The sequence below is a fragment of the Homo sapiens genome, chromosome 3 (assembly GCF_000001405.40).
Source record: "Homo sapiens chromosome 3, GRCh38.p14 Primary Assembly".
NCBI classification, from domain to species: Eukaryota; Metazoa; Chordata; class Mammalia; order Primates; family Hominidae; genus Homo; species Homo sapiens.
The window spans coordinates 54,383,854-54,406,877 of NC_000003.12; the positions used below are offsets into that span (position 1 = coordinate 54,383,854).

Consider the following 23,024-nt stretch of genomic DNA (forward strand, 5'->3'; position numbering starts at 1 on the left):
TTACCTTCTTGTGTTGTTACCTACTTTGTATTGCAGTGTTTATGGTTGAAATATACTTTATGTTTTGTTATATAGGAATATGTTACATAGTTTGCATGACTGTACAGTATACATATATATACATATACATACACACATATGTAAATAAAATATATATGAAATACATTTCATGGATACTGTTTCATGGTGATTTCAACTTGCCTATTATTTTCATCCTGTTCTCTTTTTTGTTGGTCCTACATGACTTTATTATTATTTTTTCCTTTCCAATTCTTTACTTTTTTTCAGTATTATCTGTCTTGGTAATTGTGTAGTTTTACTTTATCTTTTGATCATTTAAACATTTTATCAACTTTTTTTCTCTAGATTCTCAGTGCGTAGACACCATCAAAAATCCATTTTTTATGTGTTGCAGTAAATAAATGCTCAAATGCATGACTTGTTTTGATAATGTAAGTATTCAGACATGCATAATATTTAATACACATTCTGTAAAGCTCAATATGTAACTGATTTCATGATACATGCACAGAAATTCTAAATCTGTTACAAAGATTAAGAGAATATGCTCTCAGAAACACATAGTTTTCTTTCTTTTTATATATCACTGCCTGTCACTCATCTGTCAGGATCCACAGTGTGTTTGCAGATTGTACCACATGATCCCAGAAGGCTTTCAAGCTTCATTGACTAGGATGATTTTAGGAAGAGAGTGACCCAATGAACGCTTGGGGCCCACTTACCTGATCTTTGTAGATTGTTCCTCTTCTTACTTTTCTGTTTCTCATCCCCTCCATCTTATGTCTTTTTTTTCTGTAAAGAATTTTATGTCTTAAAGTGACAGTATTTTAGGTAGGAATACATAAGTTTTGTGTTTTGTTTTTGAGACAGAGTCTCACTCTGTCGCCCAGGCTGGAATGCAGTGGTGTGATCTCGGCTCACTGCAGCCTCTGCCTCCTGGGTTCAAGTGATTCTCCTGCCTCAGCCTCCTGAATAGCTGAGACTACAGGCATGTGCCACCACGCCTGGCTAATTTTTGTGTTTTTTGTTGAGATGGGGTTTTTGCCACGTTGACCAGGCTGGTCTCTAATTCCTTACCTCAGGTGATCTGCCCGCCTCTGCCTCCCAAAGTGCTAGGATTACTAGTGTGAACCCACCATGCCTGGCCTAGGTACATGGATTTTACAAAGTTAAATAAGAGTTGAGAAACCTTGGAGGTTTAATCAAGCATCAGGAGTGAGGTGAGGAATGGGATGAATGGTATTTTTAGCCAGTGGTTCTCAAACTTTAGTGGCATCAGAATTACCTGCAGGGCTTGTTAGACCAGATTGCTGGTCCTCACCTCCAGAACTTTTGATTCGGTGGGACTGGGATGGGCATTTCTACAATTTCCCAGGTGAAACTGATCCTGCCAGTGTGGGTCTGCACTTTGGGAAGCACTGCTCTAGGGTCACCACTTTTTGTATTTTCAGGTGAGGAAGCTGAGGCTCAGACAGGGGAAGGGTCCTGCGCAAGATTTCACACCTGTAGTGAGTTAGCATCCGGGCTAGAATGAGGACCAGGTCTCCTGGCTCTGGCCTCTGATGTTCTCTGGGGATTGTTCTTTGACCAGTGAAGGAAAAAACCCTTCCTGACCTTCTGATCAACTGAAGATAGTCTGGGAAATCACATTTCCACCCTTCCCAAATCTCTGTCTGTGGGCAGCACTGTCTCTGGCTGGCCTGTCTCTTTCTTTGTATGTCCTGTGGCGAAAGTGGGCTTTGGTACTCTACTGCTGCTTAAAGTTACCCGAATGTATTTCAGCCTCTTCACTTCCATATCCAGTTTAATAATTATTCATGGGACATTTGTCCATCAATTTGTGACCGTTTAGAGATTAATATTAATGCCATCATTTTTCACACGTGGCCTATTAAACTCAGGCCTATATTATGTCAAGAAAAAGCAAGTTAAAGACAGCATAGGATACAAGAGTGACCACAGGAGAAATAGAAGTGGTCAAATTTTTGCTTGGATCTAAGATTTTGCTTTTAGTTTGATATAATTTCAGTGAAATATTATTTCACCAAATGAGAGTTTTCTGTAATATCCTCTAGCCTATATTTTCAAGGTGGGAAATATCTTATTGTAGGCAAAATCAAATTAAAGTAAAAATGATTTTGATTGTTGACTAATTATCTAAATGAAGGCATTATGAAATGGGTTTCATAAGAATATTAATGTGTTGAATTTCGCTGGCTGAGAAGAATAACAAGAATTGTGTTGTTGTGGGTCCTGAGTATTAGTTTAATTTAAGTGATTGCTTTATTGGGTTGCAGATTGTCACAGTGGCATTGATGGACCATAAAATGCAAATAACTGTCACCTGATAATTACATATTAGAACTGGGTACAGAAAGAATTGACCTTGAATGATTGAGGGAATTAAAATAAGTACTCTTTTCCAAAATATTGGGGAAGAAAGCTAGCCCACTTAAAGTTGGACTCAATTCAAGGCAATAAATCTTGACTAAGGGCGTTCTATACCTAAGGAATGCACTATGCTAGGTGGGTTTTGGATCTGCATTGGGCCTCAAGGACCAGTGTCTGAATTGTTAGGTAAATGGATGCAGAACACGTGTGCATTTATAAATGTGTACATAACAATAAATATTTATTGGAAGAATTATTGATTGAATGATGGAGGCAGAAACCCAGTGTTGACACTGATGTGATTATTTTCAGTTTCATGGGAGCAAAGGCATCAGATCACAATGTATGAACCACGATATAATATGTCACTTTTGGTCAATGGAGAAATGGGGTTCAGGCCACAATTCTGATCCTTAATGCTGTCTTCTGTTTTTTTTTTTTTTTTTTAGCGTCTGGTGGAGGCTGCAGAAGAAGCACACCTGAAACATGAATTTGATGCAGACTTACAGGTAACTGATTATAGTTTGAGTTAAATTGTTTTGTGTGTTTCCTGCCAAAGGACAAGTACCAGGTATACCAGGAATACTGATTTTTCAGTGATTGGGAGGGAGAGGCTTTTGAGAGGATGGTACTGAGTTGGAATCTTTGACAGGATTCTTAAGCAATCCGCAACCACCTTCTAACAGTGACAGTTATAATGGGTGATGTCAAACACTCACATGTGTGTAATCAGATTTCAATAAACTATTCCCCAATTTAGGGGGAGTTAAATCGGTCAACTGACAATAATCACCAGATCTCTCAATGGTGAATTGATAAGATAGCAGAATACATCCAAATCCCACTTGGCTGGCTGCATTTTGGAATGCAAGTGACTGAAAGCAATACTGTGATGGATCTATCCTTGAATTGATTGTTAATAACATTTAAAAATTGAATCATTCACTGATTTGAGATTCAAATATCCATTTCATTAATTTCTTGCAGTAGATCTTGTACCTGATCCTGACATGACTATGTCTGATAGAGAAGGATTTTGATGTCGATGTGTATAGAAAACATAGTAAAGGGCAACAAGTTAATTAAATAATACTTGGAGGTTCCAGCTGGGTGTGGTGGCTCATGCCTGTAATCCTAGCACTTTGGGAGACTGAGGCAGGTGCATCGCTTGAGGCCAGGAGTTCGAGACCAGCCTGGCCAACATGGTGAAACCCCGTCTCTACTAAAAATACAAAAATTAGCTGGGCGTGGTAGCGCACGCCTGTAATCCCAGCTACTTGGGAAACTGAGGCAGGAGAATTGCTTGAACCTGGGCAGCAGACGTTGCAGTGAGCTGAGATTGAGCCATTGCACTGCAGCCTGGGTGACAGAGTGAGAGTCTGTCTCAAATAAATAAGTAAGTAAGTAAGTAAGTAAGTAAAACTTGGAGATTCCTTTGGGTCTCCCTGAAAGAACTTTTATCTAAATTGGCACTTTGAGTTTTGTGACCTTTCCTCACCACTAGGAAAACAGAAGGAGCAAATCTTAAAGTTTGAGCTTTGCTAGACATATTTCTTTTAGTGGCATGTGGTCACAATTTGGAAATAGTGTTGACTTTCCTATATTCCCATTTATATGGGGAATAGAAAGGCAGACATAAATCATTAAGCACAAAAAAAGATGGCAGTACCAAAGCTGACCACCGGCTGCATGTCTCTCTGGAAGATGTGTCCTTGTCATCACCCTCATCTGTGTCTTTTGCTTTGTGGGTACAACAATGCATATTCAAGTGGGGTGATCAAGGAAAGTTTAATTAAGGAAATATTTTCAAATGTATACTCGGGGTTAAGTGAAACCAACATGCAGTGGTGTTCAGATAGACCAAAAGGCAATGGTGGCATACCCCAGAGCTGGCCATACTTATGACCTGAAGAGAGGAAAACTAGGGTTTCCAGAACTCAGGGAAGATGGCTACATGGAAAAAGGATTTGATAGAGGAGTATAGACACCCATGGTGAGCTGGAAAGGGTGAAATTTGGGATAATGATACCCAAGTACTCTCTTGCTTTCTTATTTCTTGCCAGTACTCACCGTTGGCTGAATCCAGCTGTTGGTATGGTTGATGCAGTTCAGTTCAGTCATTGAGCTGGGTGAGGAAGGTTGAAGAATGGTTCTGGAGGGGCAAACAAAAAATATCAAGTCCATCATCAGCAGTCTTTTTAGGCATAATACTCAACATTTGAAACAAATAGAGCCAGAGGTATAGCTAAGCATAAGAGGGGAATGAGGAGAAGCTCTGAGGATGGTTGGAAACATTGGAAGAGGAGTCGGCAGCTGGCCCAGCTCTTTGAGCGAAGCTGCTGAGAAGGGACAGAAGATAGTGAGAAGAACCTTGGATATAGCAAGAAGTACCTTACCTTCCTAAAGCCATACTCAGTTCTCACAAAGATCTAGGGGCCATTTACTGGCCACATTTGTCTTCTTTGAGCCTGATTGTCAGAGAATTTGGACTTGTAGAGTGGGCCAGAAGGGATTTAATGGCAGCATCAGGAAGCACTTTGGCAGGTGTGAAGATTATAAGGACCTCTTGAGTGCAATGCCCAGGGAAACTGTGTCACTTTTCTCAGAAGTTCCTGAAGGCTTTTCAGGAATATTCTGATTTTAAGTGACAGAAACTCAACTCATATCAACTTAGCTTGTAACAATGAATAAAATAAGAATCCATGAGTCCGCTTGATAATAAATAAACAGATAGATAGATTAAAAAATAGACAAATGGGCCAGGCTGGGTGGCTCACACCTGTAGTCCCAGCACGTTGGGAGGCCAAGGCGGGTGTATCAGGAGTTTGAGACCAGCTTGGCCAACATGGTGAAACCCTGTCTCTACTAAAAATACAAAAATTAGCCGGGCATGGTGGCAGGTGCCGGTAATCCCAGCTACTCAGTAGGCTGAGACAGGAGAATCGCTTGAAGCTGGGAGGTGGATGTTGGAGTCAGCCGAGATCACGCCAGTGCACTCCAGCCTGGGCAACAAAGAGCGAAACTCCGTCTTAAAAAAAAAAAAAGACAAATGAGGGGGAATGTCTTAGAAGGCAACTAATGCATATAGAAAAATGATTGAGTTAGAAAATTATGGTAATTAACTGAGGCAAGAATCTTCAGTGGATGCTAAAATTAGTTGGCAAAAGTTTGGTGAAGAACAGGACACTTATAGTCTCAAACTATTTGCCCACAAGTTACTCATCAATTACAAAGGGAAAAATAGCAATTTTATTGTGGAGAAACCTGATAGACACCACCTTAAACAAATAATCGAAGTTAATGTCACCAATAATGAGACAAAGTGACATCAAGTGCCTCCAGATGTGATGACTCAGAAAAATATAACACAGTTATGTAGAATTCTTGCCCAAAATGTGTAGCCTGACTGTAATCATGATAAAACATCAGACAAATCTAGACTGAGGAACATTCTACAGAGTAACTGTCTGGACTCGTCTTCAAAAATGCCAAGATCAAGAAGGAGAAAGAAATGTTGAGGATTTGCTCCTAATTCAAAGAGATGAGGACACATGACTACTACATGCAATGTGTGATCCTGAACTGGATCCTGAACTAGAAAACAAAGTTTTAATATGGACTGTGCATTAGAAAACAATGCTGTATTAATGTTGGATTGTTGGATCTTCATCCCTATACTGTGATTATGTTAAGGAATGTCCTCATTCTTTGATTTTTTCTGGCTTCATTGGTTCAACAGGAAGGAGTGATTGTGCGGGAGAGAGTGAGAAACATTATTGGAAGTGATGACTGCTTTGTAAAATCTGTTATTTATGGCTCATGTGGTCAGTTTTACTGAGAGACAAGGGTTGGTGGGATGGGGCATGGGAGGGGATGATGTGGTTGACTTTTGGGGATTACTTATCCTTCAGCAGATGAAAAATGTTTTGTGGTTTTAGTTCAGCCAACATAGAGACATTCTTTTTTGTCCATCTGAAGCTATTATTATTTTCCAAGAGTGTTCTGATTTCCTATTTCCGAAGTTTTACAGTAAAATTCTGGTGTAGCACAAGCAATTCCCTCTGTCAAAGAGGGTGCTGTGATTGTGAATGCAGCATTGGCATCTCTCTTGAAAAAATGAGGCACCAAGAAAATAAGTCTCTAGTTTTTGTTCTCTTGGGAACAAGGAAAGGGAGCTAAAGTTTTCCTCCCCAGTCACCTGTTCTGGACATGTACAACAAAAGCATCAGAGGGTACCATTGTGGTCTGAACATAAGAGTAGATGTTGAAATACTCTGTCAATATGACAATGCCATTCACACTGGTGCTCCGACCTCAGTGAACTCCTCTATGGGTCAAAGTAAACCACATGCACTTTGGTGGAGACCTGTGAAAGAGAGGCCTTTGATAAACTGGCTGTGCATGGAAGGATTTGTCTTGGCTTAGATGAAGGTTTTGAAGCTACTGAAGCTTCTATGCTATTAAGTGCAAGTATATTAACAGCTTGGGTGTCAGCCCCATTGCTATTACTGAGGTGGCAGGTCTGTGTACTGGCTCTGAATTTATTACTATGATGGTCCGTTAGAGCTGATCAATTGTTAATCTGGGTTCTGCTGACCTCTCAGCAACCCCTGGCAGATAATTGTTTTTATCAAAAAAATTTCAGACTACCATCTGCTCACTGTGAAATAACGCTGAGAAGGAACCTACCCTATTAGCTCAGGAGGAGTACAGGGAGCTGGAAGTCTGTTTTCATACTGAAAAATAAAAAGTGATTTTGCAAAATTTCCTAACCTGTGTAGTTTTAACTCATATATATCTTAGCTTCCGTCTTCCCAAAACAGAAAAGAGATGATGGATCTGCCCCTTCTCTCGCTTTAGACTGGAGACGTTGCATCATTGCAACATTCATGTGCTTCAAAGTGAAGAATTTGCTTTTCGTTGGTAAAATAATCAAAAGTTAGAAAAAGAAAGTTACAACTCCTTTATTATTACAATTTTATTTTCCATTTAAATTCCCCTTGCCATCTTTTCAGAGGTTTAACTTTTCCCCGTGACCTTATGGCTTGGACATCTACAGCCCCCTCTGTAATGTCCTTACTATGGCATTAGATTGTTAGTTGTTAACAAAAACTGTATTGGGGCAAGAGGCAAAATGCAGCTCCTGAAGGATAGCATGTGTGAACAAACCAAAATGCAGAATCCTCCATAGAAAACAGATGTGCTTGGCCTTCATTGGCGGGGTGGCTTTCTTTCTTTCTTTCTTTCTTTCTTTTTTTTTTTTGAGACAGAGTCTTGATCTGTCACCCAGACCGGAGTGCAGTGGTGCGATCTCAGCTCACTATAACCTGCGCCTCCCAGCTTCAAGTGATTCTCATGCCTCAGCTTCCCCAGTAGCTGGGATTACAGGTGTGCACCATGACACCCAGCTACTTCTTGTATTTTTTGTGGATACCGGGTTTCACCATGTTGGTTAGGCTGTTCTCGAGCTCCTGGGCTCAAGTGACCTGCCTGACTTGGCCTCCCAAAGTGCTGGGATTATAGGTATGAGCCACCATGCCCAGCCTGGCAGGGTAACTTTCTTGTGGACACTGGTGTCAGTTCAGCCCTCTGGCTTGTCCCTCTTTCTGGTGGCCTGTGGGTTCTAGATTGGCCTTCTCTTGGTGTAGTTCTTTATTCCCTGATATCTTCATTGGGTCAATTTTCAGTCATAATTGACAATAGAGGCCTTATTATAATAGCATCTCTCTCCTTTTTTACTTTATGCTGCGAATTAACATAGGCTTTTCTTAAAAGATTGATAGTTCCAATGAGAACAGAGTTTTAAAAAATACTACCCTATGTCTCAGTTATTACATGTAATTATTTTAGTGTTTCATCCTCATTATTTTGATGGCAAAACCCAATTCCAGGTGGAGAAGCAGGAGACCCTAGCTTTGAATACCTAGCCATTGATGAATTTCCAGAAAATTAAGTCTATACATGTTCTAGTACAATTCAGAATGCGTTCCCCCTCTTACATACTCTTTCTTTTTGAGTTTTTCCACTGGCAGTAAAGAAGAAAAAAAAAATGTCCTTTTGACAGTTTACTAAAAACCTGCTTATCTTTGAACCACAAACATATTTTCTTTGAAAGCTGTCTCAAATAAGTGCCAGTTGCACAGAGCGGGTGCACAGAGAGAGAAAAAAATATGGTTTTGAATTGTGTATCCTGCAGAAGCTTTTTCTATTACAAAGTTTTCTATGATAGTTTTTCTTTGTTGTTTTGTAAGTAATAGGGAAAAAGAGAAGTGTGGTGACATTCAGAGGGATAACAGGTATGGAAGGGAAAGGAGCTGGCAGCACACTTCCTCCTGGTCCTCACCAAGCTGGAAGAGCCTACCTTGCAAATGTAGTGGCCTGATTTCAAAGGTGGGGTGGGGGCTTTGGAGTGGAGGGGGAATAAAGACTGTTGGTGGGAAACCTCTGAGATAAGATGACTTCCGATACTTCCTAGAGCAGCTTACTCTACCTGCTTACCTGTTACAATGGGAGCTTTGTGTTGAAGGAAACCCAGGAAAGGAGAGAAAGGGCAGCTCAGGAGCCCCAGCACTCAGTGTAGAACTTCTTTCACCATCCACTAGGAAAAGGAAGCCTTTCTAGGAAAAAGGATTAGCAAGGACAGTGGGAGAGTGATGTCAACAAGATGGCTGGCTAGAAGAAGCCCTTAGTGCTTGTCCCCCGCCACCCTGCAAAGACAGCCAAAGCAAAGAATAAACTGCTGGATTTTGATGAAAATAACTAAACAGGGCTGAAGTGCATCAAAGGAGTAACAGAAGCCCTGTAGACCACAGAAGCTCAGGATGGACGCATAGAGAAGGGAAGCGCCTTGCTTCTGCTACCCCATCCCCAAGGTGGGGTCAGTTCAAAACCAGGAGTTACTTCTCCCTGTGGAAAAAAGGTGAGCAAGAAGACTGCCGGAAGCACCCATCGTCGACGTGGAGACTTGTAGTGCTCTCCACTGGGGACTCCTACCGACCTCACAGGTGCTCAGGTCAGCTGAGGGAGCTGGCTGGTGTCCACACAGCTGCACTTTCCCCAGAGAAGCAGCTGACACTGTGTCCTGTCCCCTGTGACCCATGTGGGTACTGCACCGTCTTTGAACTTGAACCACTGCTGGAGTGTGTGTCTGGCTCTGGTGCAGTTAGCCACAGCACCCTGTCGTCCCTGAGGCTTTGTTGCCACTGAACCACCCTTGCCTGCTGGCCCACCATCCCTAAGCTGAGCTGCTGCTACATGCTACCCCAGGGGCCAAGCTGGTGTGTAGCTGCTCTACCTACCCCTCCCAGTCACTATCGTGCTTCGCCCCTCAGAGCTTAAGCAGAAGCAGCACCCTGCATCCTGGGGAATTGGTGCCTTGTCTGCCCAGAGCAGTAAGGCTTCCTGTGCCTGAGCTAAAGAGGTACATCAACTCGTGGGGAAATGGAGCCATAGCCAGACTGAGCAGCCACACATCCCTGGGCTGATCTGACGTGGTATCCCACGTCCCAGGGAAACAGGGCGTTGGTTGAGCTGGGACACCTTGCCCTACTGGCTGAAGAACTGTAGTACCCTGCTTCCCTAGAACTGGACTGTCCTTGCAGAGTATGAGACACCCGTCTTCTTGGGGAGTGGGGTCATCACTGTGCTGTTCCCTGCCTTCCAGGATGCAAGCAGCAGCTAGGCTTTGCCATTTTGGGTACCTTGTTGCTGCTGCATGTGTCCATACAGGGTCTAGGATGCTTCTGTGTCTCACCATCTGGGGGTCCAGAGTTACCACTATGAGGTAGGCATCTCATTCACTGGGGCCTGAATTGCCACTGTGCCTGTTGGCACTGGTTCCCAAATTGCAGCTTTACCTTGCTCCCTGGGCTCAAATCGTCAGAGCACCCCTTCTTCCTCAGAGAAAGGCCAGTTCTGTGTCCTGTCCCCTGGGGTCAGAGTTACAACTACAACCCAGCTCCCCGGAGCGGCCTTAGCTGCTTGGTTGTGCCCCAGAATCACAGATCCTGGTGTGTAGGCAATCTGCCTGCAACCCTGCCTTGGAGAGTGAACATTTTTTTTTTTTTTATTATTATACTCTAAGTTTTAGGGTACATGTGCACATTGTGCAGGTTACATATGTATACATGTGCCATGCTGGTGCGCTGCACCCACTAACGTGTCATCTAGCATTAGGTATATCTCCCAATGCTATCCCTCCTCCCTCCCCCGACCCCACCACAGTCCCCAGAGTGTGATATTCCCCTTCCTGTGTCCATGTGATCTCATTGTTCAATTCCCACCTATGAGTGAGAATATGCGGTGTTTGGTTTTTTGTTCTTGCGATAGTTTACTGAGAATGATGGTTTCCATCCATGTCCCTACAAAGGACATGAACTCATCATTTTTTATGGCTGTATAGTATTCCATGGTGTATATGTGCCACATTTTCTTAATCCAGTCTATCATTGTTGGACATTTGGGTTGGTTCCAAGTCTTTGCTATTGTGAATAGTGCCGCAATAAACATACGTGTGCATGTGTCTTTATAGCAGCAAGATTTATAGTCCTTTGGGTATATACCCAGTAATGGGATGGCTGGGTCAAATGGTATTTCTAGTTCTAGATCCCTGAGGAATCGCCACACTGACTTCCACAATGGTTGAACTAGTTTACAGTCCCACCAACAGTGTAAAAGTGTTCCTATTTCTCCACATCCTCTCCAGCACCTGTTGTTTCCTGACTTTTTAATGATTGCCATTCTAACTGGTGTGAGATGATATCTCATAGTGGTTTTGATTTGCATTTCTCTGATGGCCAGTGATGATGAGCATTTCTTCATGTGTTTTTTGGCTGCATAAATGTCTTCTTTTGAGAAGTGTCTGTTCATGTCCTTCACCCACTTTTTGATGGGGTTGTTTGTTTTTTTCTTGTAAATTTGTTTGAGTTCATTGTAGATTCTGGATATTAGCCCTTTGTCAGATGAGTAGGTTGCGAAAATTTTCTCCCATGTTGTAGGTTGCCTGTTCACTCTGATGGTAGTTTCTTTTGCTGTGCAGAAGCTCTTTAGTTTAATTAGATCCCATTTGTCAATTTTGGCTTTTGTTGCCATTGCTTTTGGTGTTTTGGACATGAAGTCCTTGCCCACGCCTATGTCCTGAATGGTAATGCCTAGGTTTTCTTCTAGGGTTTTTATGGTTTTAGGTCTAACGTTTAAATCTTTAATCCATCTTGAATTGATTTTTGTATAAGGTGTAAGGAAGGGATCCAGTTTCAGCTTTCTACATATGGCTAGCCAGTTTTCCCAGCACCATTTATTAAATAGGGAATCCTTTCCCCATTGCTTGTTTTTCTCAGGTTTGTCAAAGATCAGATAGTTGTAGATATGCGGCATTATTTCTGAGGGCTCTGTTCTGTTCCATTGATCTATATCTCTGTTTTGGTACCAGTACCATGCTGTTTTGGTTACTGTAGCCTTGTAGTATAGTTTGAAGTCAGGTAGTGTGATGCCTCCAACTTTGTTGTTTTGGCTTAGGATTGACTTGGCGATGCGGGTTCTTTTTTGGTTCCATATGAACTTTAAAGTAGTTTTTTCCAATTCTGTGAAGAAAGTCATTGGTAGCTTGATGGGGATGGCATTGAATCTGTAAATTACCTTGGGCAGTATGGCCATTTTCACGATATTGATTCTTCCTACCCATGAGCATGGAATGTTCTTCCATTTGTTTGTGTCCTCTTTTATTTCATTGAGCAGTGGTTTGTAGTTCTCCTTGAAGAGGTCCTTCACATCCCTTGTAAGTTGGATTCCTAGGTATTTTATTCTCTTTGAAGCAATTGTGAATGGGAGTTCACCCATGATTTGACTCTCTGTTTGTCTGTTGTTGGTGTATAAGAATGCTTGTGATTTTTGTACATTGATTTTGTATCCTGAGACTTTGCTGAAGTTGCTTATCAGCTTAAGGAGATTTTGGGCTGAGACGATGGGGTTTTCTAGATAAACAATCATGTCGTCTGCAAACAGGGACAATTTGACTTCCTCTTTTCCTAATTGAATACCCTTTATTTCCTTCTCCTGCCTGATTGCCCTGGCCAGAACTTCCAACACTATGTTGAATAGGAGCGGTGAGAGAGGGCATCCCTGTCTTGTGCCAGTTTTCAAAGGGAATGCTTCCAGTTTTTGCCCATTCAGTATGATATTGGCTGTGGGTTTGTCATAGATAGCTCTTATTATTTTGAAATACGTCCCATCAATACCTAATTTATTGAGAGTTTTTAGCATGAAGGGTTGTTGAATTTTGTCAAAGGCTTTTTCTGCATCTATTGAGATAATCATGTGGTTTTTGTCTTTGGCTCTGTTTATATGCTGGATTACATTTATTGATTTGCATATATTGAACCAGCCTTGCATCCCAGGGATGAAGCCCACTTGATCATGGTGGATAAGCTTTTGGATGTGCTGCTGGATTCGTTTTGCCAGTATTTTATTGAGGATTTTTGCATCAATGTTCATCAAGGATATTGGTCTAAAATTCTCTTTTTTGGTTGTGTCTCTGCCCGGCTTTGGTATCAGAATGATGCTGGCCTCATAAAATGAGTTAGGGAGGATTCCCTCTTTTTCTATTGATTGGAATAGTTTCAGAAGGAATGGTACCAGTTCCTCCTTGTACCTCTGGTAGAATTCGGCTGTGAATCCATCTGGTCCTGGACTCTTTTTGGTTGGTAAACTATTGATTATTGCCACAATTTCAGATCCTGTTATTGGTCTATTCAGAGATTCAACTTCTTCCTGGTTTAGTCTTGGGAGAGTGTATGTGTCGAGGAATGTATCCATTTCTTCTAGATTTTCTAGTTTATTTGCGTAGAGGTGTTTGTAGTATTCTCTGATGGTAGTTTGTATTTCTGTGGGATCGGTGGTGATATCCCCTTTATCATTTTTTATTGTGTCTATTTGATTCTTCTCTCTTTTTTTCTTTATTAGTCTTGCTAGCGGTCTATCAATTTTGTTGATCCTTTCAAAAAACCAGCTCCTGGATTCATTGATTTTTTGAAGGGTTTTTTGTGTCTCTATTTCCTTCAGTTCTGCTCTGATTTTAGTTATTTCTTGACTTCTGCTAGCTTTTGAATGTGTTTGCTCTTGCTTTTCTAGTTCTTTTAATTGTGATGTTAGGGTGTCAATTTTGGATCTTTCCTGCTTTCTCTTGTAGGCATTTAGTGCTATAAATTTCCCTCTACACACTGCTTTGAATGCGTCCCAGAGATTCTGGTATGTGGTGTCTTTGTTCTCGTTGGTTTCAAAGAACATTTTTATTTCTGTCTTCATTTCGTTATGTACCCAGTAGTCATTCAGGAGCAGGTTGTTCAGTTTCCATGTAGTTGAGCGGCTTTGAGTGAGATTCTTAATCCTGAGTTCTAGTTTGATTGCACTGTGGTCTGAGAGATAGTTTGTTATAATTTCTGTTCTTTTACATTTGCTGAGGAGAGCTTTACTTCCAAGTATGTGGTCAATTTTGGAATAGGTGTGGTGTGGTGCTGAAAAAAATGTATATTCTGTTGATTTGGGGTGGAGAGTTCTGTAGATGTCTATTAGGTCTGCTTGGTGCAGAGCTGAGTTCAATTCCTGGGTATCCTTGTTGACTTTCTGTCTCGTTGATCTGTCTAATGTTGACAGTGGGGTGTTAAAGTCTCCCATTATTAATGTGTGGGAGTCTAAGTCTCTTTGTAGGTCACTGAGGACTTGCTTTATGAATCTGGGTGCTCCTGTATTGGGTGCATAAATATTTAGGATAGTTAGCTCCTCTTGTTGAATTGATCCCTTTACCATTATGTAATGGCCTTCTTTGTCTCTTTTGATCTTTGTTGGTTTAAAGTCTGTTTTATCAGAGACTAGGATTGCAACCCCTGCCTTTTTTTGTTTTCCATTGGCTAGGTAGATCTTCCTCCATCCTTTTATTTTGAGCCTATGTGTGTCTCTGCACGTGAGATGGGTTTCCTGAATACAGCACACTGATGGGTCTTGACTCTTTATCCAACTTCCCAGTCTGTGTCTTTTAATTGCAGAATTTAGTCCATTTATATTTAAAGTTAATATTGTTATGTGTGAATTTGATCCTGTCATTATGATGTTAGCTGGTGATTTTGCTCATTAGTTGATGCAGTTTCTTCCTAGTCTCGATGGTCTTTACATTTTGGCATGATTTTGCAGCGGCTGGTACCGGTTGTTCCTTTCCAGGTTTAGCGCTTCCTTCAGGAGCTCTTTTAGGGCAGGCCTGGTGGTGACAAAATCTCTCAGCATTTGCTTGTCTATAAAGTATTTTATTTCTCCTTCACTTATGAAGCTTAGTTTGGCTGGATATGAAATTCTGGGTTGAAAATTCTTTTCTTTAAGAATGTTGAATATTGGCCCCCACTCTCTTCTGGCTTGTAGGGTTTCTGCTGAGAGATCCGCTGTTAGTCTGATGGGCTTTCCTTTGAGGGTAACCCGACCTTTCTCTCTGGCTGCCCTTAACATTTTTTCCTTCATTTCAACTTTGGTGAATCTGACAATTATGTGTCTTGGAGTTGCTCTTCTCGAGGAGTATCTTTGTGGCGTTCTCTGTAGTTCCTGAATCTGAACGTTGGCCTGCCTTGCTAGATTGGGGAAGTTCTCCTGGATAATATCCTGCAGAGTGTTTTCCAACTTGGTTCCATTCTCCACATCACTTTCAGGTACACCAATCAGACGTAGATTTGGTCTTTTCACATAGTCCCATATTTCTTGGAGGCTTTGCTCATTTCTTTTTATTCTTTTTTCTCTAAACTTCCCTTCTCGCTTCATTTCATTCATTTCATCTTCCATTGCTGATACCCTTTCTTCCAGTTGATCGCATTGGCTCCTGAGGCTTCTGCATTCTTCACGTAGTTCTCGAGCCTTGGTTTTCAGCTCCATCAGCTCCTTTAAGCACTTCTCTCTATTGGTTATTCTAGTTATACATTCTTCTAAATTTTTTTCAAAGTTTTCAACTTCTTTGCCTTTGGTTTGAATGTCCTCCCATAGCTCAGAGTAATTTGATCATCTGAAGCCTTCTTCTCTCAGCTCGTCAAAATCATTCTCCATCCAGCTTTGTTCTGTTGCTGGTGAGGAACTGCGTTCCTTTGGAGGAGGAGAGGCGCTCTGCGTTTTAGAGTTTCCAGTTTTTCTGTTCTGTTTTTTCCCCATCTTTGTGGTTTTATCTACTTTTGGTCTTTGATGATGGTGATGTACAGATGGGTTTTCGGTGTAGATGTCCTTTCTGTTTGTTAGTTTTCCTTCTAACAGACAGGACCCTCAGCTGCAGGTCTGTTGGAATACCCTGCCGTGTGAGGTGTCAGTGTGCCCCTGCTGGGGGGTGCCTCCCAGTTAGGCTGCTCGGGGGTCAGGGGTCAGGGACCCACTTGAGGAGGCAGTCTGCCCGTTCTCAGATCTCCAGCTGCGTGCTGGGAGAACCACTGCTCTCTTCAAAGCTGTCAGACAGGGACACTTAAGTCTGCAGAGGTTACTGCTGTCTTTTTGTTTGTCTGTGCCCTGCCCCCAGAGGTGGAGCCTACAGAGGCAGGCAGGCCTCCTTGAGCTGTGGTGGGCTCCACCCAGTTCGAGCTTCCCAGCAAGCCTGGGCAATGGCGGGCGCCCCTCCCCCAGCCTCGTTGCCGCCTTGCAGTTTGATCTCAGACTGCTGTGCTAGCAATCAGCGAGATTCCGTGGGCGTAGGACCCTCTGAGCCAGGTGTGGGATATAGTCTCGTGGTGCGCCGTTTTTTAAGCCGGTCTGAAAAGTGCAATATTCGGGTGGGAGTGACCCGATTTTCCAGGTGCGTCCGTCACCCCTTTCTTTGACTCGGAAAGGGAACTCCCTGACCCCTTGCGCTTCCCAGGTGAGGCAATGCCTCGCCCTGCTTCGGCTCGCGCACGGTGCGCACACACACTGGCCTGCGCCCACTGTCTGGCACTCCCTAGTGAGATGAACCCGGTACCTCAGATGGAAATGCAGAAATCACCCGTCTTCTGTGTCGCTCACGCTGGGAGCTGTAGACCGGAGCTGTTCCTATTCGGCCATCTTGGCTCCTCCGAGAGTGAACCTTCACCTTAGAACTCAGGTGCCAAAATAAGCTCATGAAACCCTGAGCCCACGACTCCTCTTCCATGGATATTCTGAGCACCTGTTTCCTGGAACTCAGCACTGTTGCAGCTGCTTGAGGGCTGTGTCAGACCTGACATCAAGAAATATCTTCTCATCTAAGACTCACCATTGTGTGGAAAGAAAGAAGAGGAGGACATCAAAAGTCCTTGTCACCAAGGACCCTGACAGCCTTTGCTACCACCACCACTGCCCCAAACTCCTACAGCCTAGTCTACCAGACACCCACAGTCATTTCTGACATTGATCACAGCTGAAGAAGCTTCACAGAGGATATACAACTGCTTCTACTAGGAGCTTAGAGTCACCATGCCCTACCAAATTGGCACAGTAAGACCCATCTGCAAGTGAAAGTCTTTCCCTATAAAAGCCAGTCTGTAAAGTTTGGAAGAGGTGATTGTTTCACCAGATGTGCAGACATCAATGCAAGGAACAAGAAACATGAAAAAGCAAGGAAACAGGACATTGCCAAAGTAACACAATAATTCTCTAGTAACTTACTCCAAGAAAAGGAAATTTATGAATTTTCTAAAAAGGAATTCAGAATAATGATTGTGAGGAAACTCTGTGAGATTTGAGATAAGATAGGCAATTCAGTGAAATCAGAAAAAAAATTCATGATCTGAATGATAATCTCAACGGAGATAAATATCATTAAAAAGAACCAAATAAAAATCTTGGAGCTGAAGAATTCAATGAATGAAATAAAAACTATAATAGAAAACTTCAACATCAGACTAGATCAAGCAGAAGAAAGAAACTCTGAACTTGATGATAGGTCTTTTGAAATTACCTAGTCAACGGAAAAAAAAGAAAAATGAATGAAAGATTGAAGACAGTCTGCAGAACTTATGAAATGCCATCAAGTGAACAAAGATTCATATTAGGAGAATTGCAGAAGGATAAGGGACAGAGGTAGGAAGAGGAAGCTTATGAAATAATGAAATAATTGCAGAAAACCTCCAGATTCTTGGAAGAGATTTGGACATCCAGATCTGTGAAACTCAAAAGTCCCCAAACAAGTTCAACCCAAAGTGGTTCTCTCTGAGGTACATTATAATTAAACTATCAAAAGTCAATGACAAAGAGATAATTTTAAAAGAACAAGAGAAAAGTGTCAGGTCACATATAAGGGAAATCATCGTTAGAATGTCAGTGAATTTCTTAAGAGAAACGTTGCAAGCCAGGAGAGAAAGGGATGAAAATTTTAAAGTACTGAAAGGAAAAAGAATGTCAGCCAAGAATACTATACCCATTAAAGGTGTCCTTCAGGAATAAAGGAGAAACAAAAGTCTTTCCTAGGCAAGCAAACGTTGAGAGAATTTATCACCACTAAACCCGTCTTAGAAGAAATACTTAAGAGAGTTCTTCAAGTAGAAACAAAAGGATGTGAATTACTAATGTAACAACATATGAAAGTATAAAATTCAATGGTAAAGGTCAAGTCCAGAATACTTCATTGTTGATATGATACTCTGTAAATCGTATATATCTCTAGTATAAAGGTCAAAAGTCAAAACAGTCAAAAATAATGATAGCTACCATTAATTAAGAAATGCTTAATATAAAAAGACGTAAATTCTGACATCAAAAATATAAATTGTTGGGAGAGGGCAAAAGTCAAGAGTGTTTGTATGAGAATGAAATTAAGTTGTTATCAGTGTAAAATATCCTATTATAACTGTATGATGTTTTGCATAAACCATATGGCACTACAAAGCAAAACCTATAGCATATATACCAATGATAAAGAGAAAAGAATAAAAACTTAGCACTACAGAAACTTACTAGATTACAAAGATAAAAAACAAGAGAGGGAGAAGGGAACAAAGGATCTGTGAAACAACCAGAATACAGTTAATAAAATGGCAGTAATAATTCTTTACCTATCAATAATTACGATGAATGTAAATGGATTAAATTCTCCAACCAAAAGACATAGAGTGGCTAAATTGATTAAAAAAACAAGGTCCAACTATATGCTACCCACAAGAAACCCACTTTAGCCTTAAGGACACACATAGGCTGAAAGTAAAGGAATGGAAGAAGATATTGCATGCAAATGGCAACCAAAAAAAAGAGCAGGGCTGGCTATACTTATATCTAATAAAATAGATTTTAAGTATGAAACTGTCACAAAAGACAAATAGGGTCACTATTTAATGATAAAGGGCTCAATTCATCAAGAGGACATAATGTCTGTAAATATATATGCACCCAATCTGAGAGCACCTAAGACAAATATTAATTGACATTAAGGGAGAAATAGACAGCAATACAATAATAGTAAGGGACTTTAATATCCCACTTTCAACAATGGACAGATCAAGCAGATGAAAATTAATAAGGAAATACTGTAATTGAACTGCACTTCAGAAAAAAATGGACTTAACAAATATATACACAACTTTCCATCCAACAGCAGCAGAATATACATTCTTCTCTAGTGCACGTGGAACATTCTCCAGGACGAACCATATGGTAAGCCACAAAGTAAGTCTTAACAAACTTAAGAAGATTGGAATCATATCAAGTATTATTTATGACCACAAGTATATGAAACTACGAATCAACAATAGGAAGATTTTTGGAAAAGTCAATAATATGTGGAAATTAAACAACATGCTCCTGAACAACCCAGTGGGTCAAAGAAGAAATCAAGAGGAAAATATCTTAGCAATATCTTGGCCAGGCACAGTGGCTCACACCTATAATCCCAGCACTTTGGGAGATGGAGATGGACAGATCACTTGAAGAGTTCGAGACCAGCTTGGGCAACAAGTGAGACCTGTCTCTGCAAAAAATAAAAAAAAGTAGCCGGTCTTGGTGGCACGTACCTGTAGTTTCAGCTATTCAGGAGGCTGAGGTGGAAGGGTGGCTTAAACCTGGGAGGCAGAGGTTTCAATGAGCCAAGATTATGCCACTGCACTCCAGCCTGGGTGACAGAGCCGGACCCTATCTCAAACACACACACACACACACACACACACACACACACACACACACGCACACACAATAAAAATATCTTGAGACAAAAGGTAGTGAAGACATAACATACCAAAACCTATGGGATACAACAAAAGTGGTTCTGGAAGGGAAGTTCATAACTGTAAATGCCTACATTAAAAAATAAGAAATATTTCAAATAATAAGAAGAAAGATTTTAAATAAGTAGCCCAACATTACACCTCAAGGAACTAGAAAAAGAAGAACAAGTTAAACCCAAAGTTAACAGAAGGAAGGAAATAATAAAAATCAGAACAGAAATAAATCAAATGAGGGATAGAAAAACCATAGAAAAAATTAACTGAATTGTTTATTTTTTGAAAACTTAAACAAAATTAACAAACCCTTAGCTAGACTAAGAAAAGAGAGAAGACTCAAATATATGAAATCAGAAATGAAAGTGGAGACATTATAACAGAAGCCTCAGAAATAAAAAGCTTCATAAGTAACTATTAAGAACAATTATATGCCAAGAAATTTTGATAACCTAGAGGAAATGGATAAATTCTTTCTAAAACCAAGGTTTTGCCAAGGTTGAATCAGGAAGAAATGCAAAGCCCGCATAGAGCAATAACAAAGAGATTGAAGTAGTAATTAAAAGCCTCCTAAAAAATAAAAGCCCAGGACCAGATGGCTTTACGGCTGAATTATACTACATTTTCAAACAAGAATTACTACCCAAACTTCTTAAACTCATCCAGAAAATAGAGCTGGAGGGAATACTTCCTAACATGTTTTCTGAAGCCAGCATCACCTTGGTACCTAAACCAAAGACACCACGGTAAAGAAAACTACACGTCAGGTCAGTATCAATATCTCTGATGAATATTGATGTAAAAAATCATCAATAATATTTTAGCAACTCAAATTCAAGAACAAATCAAGAAGATTATACATCATGATCGAGAGAGATGTATCCCTGGCCATGTAAGACTAGCATATACAAATTAATCAATGTGATACTTTCATTAACAGACAAAAACCACACGATCATATAAACTGATGCAGAAAAAGCATTCAACAAAGTTCAACATCCTTTCTTGATGAAAACTCTTAACAGTTTAGGTATAGATGGAAGGTTTCTCAGCATAATAAAGTTCATTTATGAAAAACCGACAGCTGGCATCATAATCAATGAGGAGAAACTGAAAGCTTTTCTTTTAAGATCTGCTGTAAGGTAAGAATGCCCACACTTGCCACTACTATTCAACATAGTACTGGAAGTATTAGCAAGAGCAGTTAGACAAAAAAGAAATAAAAAGCTTTCAGATGGGAACAAAAGAAGTAAAATTATCACGAATTACAGATGACATGATCCTTTATGTAGAAAACCCCAAAGACTCCACCAAAAAGCTGTTAGATCTCAATAAAGTTGCAGGATGTAAAATAAAGATACAAAAATTTCTTGTATTTCTATATACAAATAACAACCTAGATGAAAAATTCAAGAAAATAATCTCATTTCTAATAGCATCAAAAATAAAACAAGATGAAATACTTAAGAATAAATTTTACCAAGAAAGTAAAAGACATACACTGAAAACTATAAAACATTGATGAAACAAATTGAAGAGTACACTGAAAACTATAAAACATTGATGAAAGAAATTGAAGAGGACACAAATAGAAAGATATTTCATGCTCATGAATTGGAAGAATTAATATTGTTAAAATGTCTATACTATACTATACTAAAATGTCTATACTATACTATACTATACTGTACTGTACTATACTATACTAAAAAGCAATATGTATAGATCCAATGCAATCCCTATCAAAATCCCAATGGCATTCTTCACATAAATGTAAAAACCCTAAAATTTATGTGGAACCACATTAAACCCTGAATAGCCAAAATACTACTCAGTAAAAAAAAAAAAAAAAAAAAAAGTTGGAGGCTTCACATTTCCTGTTAAAATTATATTACGAAGCATAACAATCAAAACAACATGTTACTGGCAAAAAGCAGACACATAGACTTGTAGAATAGGATAGAGAGCCCAGAAATAAATCCAAACATATGTGGTCAACTAGTTTCTGAGAAGGGCAGCAAAAAGACACAATGGGGGAAAGAATAGTCTCATTAATAAATGGTGCTGGGAAAACTGGATTTCCATGTGCAAAAGAATGAAATTGGACCCTTATCTTATATACAAAAATCAACTCAAAATGGATGAAAGACCTAAATGTAAAACCTGAAACCATAAAACTGCTAGAAGAAAATATAGGGGGTAAACTCCTTGACGGTGACCTTGACAGTGATTTCTTGGATGTCACACCAAAAGCTCAGGCTACAAAAGCAAAAATAAATAAATGGGACTACATCAAACTAAATAGCTTCTGCACAGCAATGGAAACAATTAACAAAAATATTGGGAAAAATATTCACAAATCATGTATCTGCTAAGGGTTAATATCCAAAATTTATAAAGAACTCATACAACTCAATAGCAAAAAAAAAAATGACCCAATTAGCAATGTGCAAAGGACATTAGTATACATTTCTCCAAATATGACATAAAAATGGCCCACGGATACACAGAAAGGGGCTCAGCATCACTAATCATCAGAGAAATACAAATTAAAACTGTGCAATATCACTTCACACCTGTTAGGATAACTGTTGTCAAAAAGACAAAAAGACAAGTGTTGGTGAGGCTGTGGAGAAAAGGAAACTCTTGTATGCTGTCAGTGGGAATATAGATTGGTGTAGCCATTATGAAAAACAGTATGGAGGTTACTAAACAAATTGAAAATAGAATGACTGTATGACCCAGAAATTGCTCTTCTGGGTATATACTCAAAGGAAATGAAATCACCACCTCAGAAAGATACCTGCAGTCACATGTTAATTGCGCCATTTTCCACAATAGCCATGATAGAGAAACAACCTAGGTGCCCATCAGTGGACTAATGGATAAAGAAACTGTGTGCATATATATATGTATATAGTGTGTATGTGTGTATATATATGTACACTATATATATTTCAGATTGAAGAATACTCCATTGTGTATATACACACACATTGTACAATGTGTGTACACATATATACAATGGAATATTATTCAACCTTAAAAAAGGAGGAGGTCTTAACATTTGCTACAACATGGACAAATGGGGAGGACATTATGCTAAGTGAAATAAGCCAAACACAGAAAGAAAAATATTTCATGATCTCACTTATGTGTGGAATCTAAAAAAACAAAAAGTGGTTAGATATATAGAGATAGAGAATAAAACATTCATTACCAGGTTCACGGTGGGAGAGAGGAAATGGGAGTTGTAGGTCAAAGAATACAAAATAGCAAATATGTAGGAAGTACAAGTTGATCTAATGTGCAACATGAGAACTATAGTTAATAGTAGTGTATTGTATTCCGGACTTTGGTTAAGTGAGTAGATAGATTATAGCTGCTTTTGTCACTGGGAAGGGGGATGGGTAACTACGTGAGCTGATGGATATATTAATTTGT

The 23,024-nt window shown here is 40.1% G+C and overlaps 1 protein-coding gene across 1 annotated transcript in view; it reads left to right on the forward strand.

Annotated features, from left to right (window-relative positions):
* The window catches only part of CACNA2D3 (calcium voltage-gated channel auxiliary subunit alpha2delta 3), a 952,006-nt gene that overhangs the window by 261,302 nt on the left and 667,680 nt on the right, over nucleotides 1-23,024 (forward strand). Inside the window, exon 4 of the mRNA NM_018398.3 lies at nucleotides 2,862-2,921. Coding sequence (NP_060868.2) covers nucleotides 2,862-2,921 — 60 coding nt within the window. The remainder of the gene's footprint in view (nucleotides 1-2,861; nucleotides 2,922-23,024) is intronic.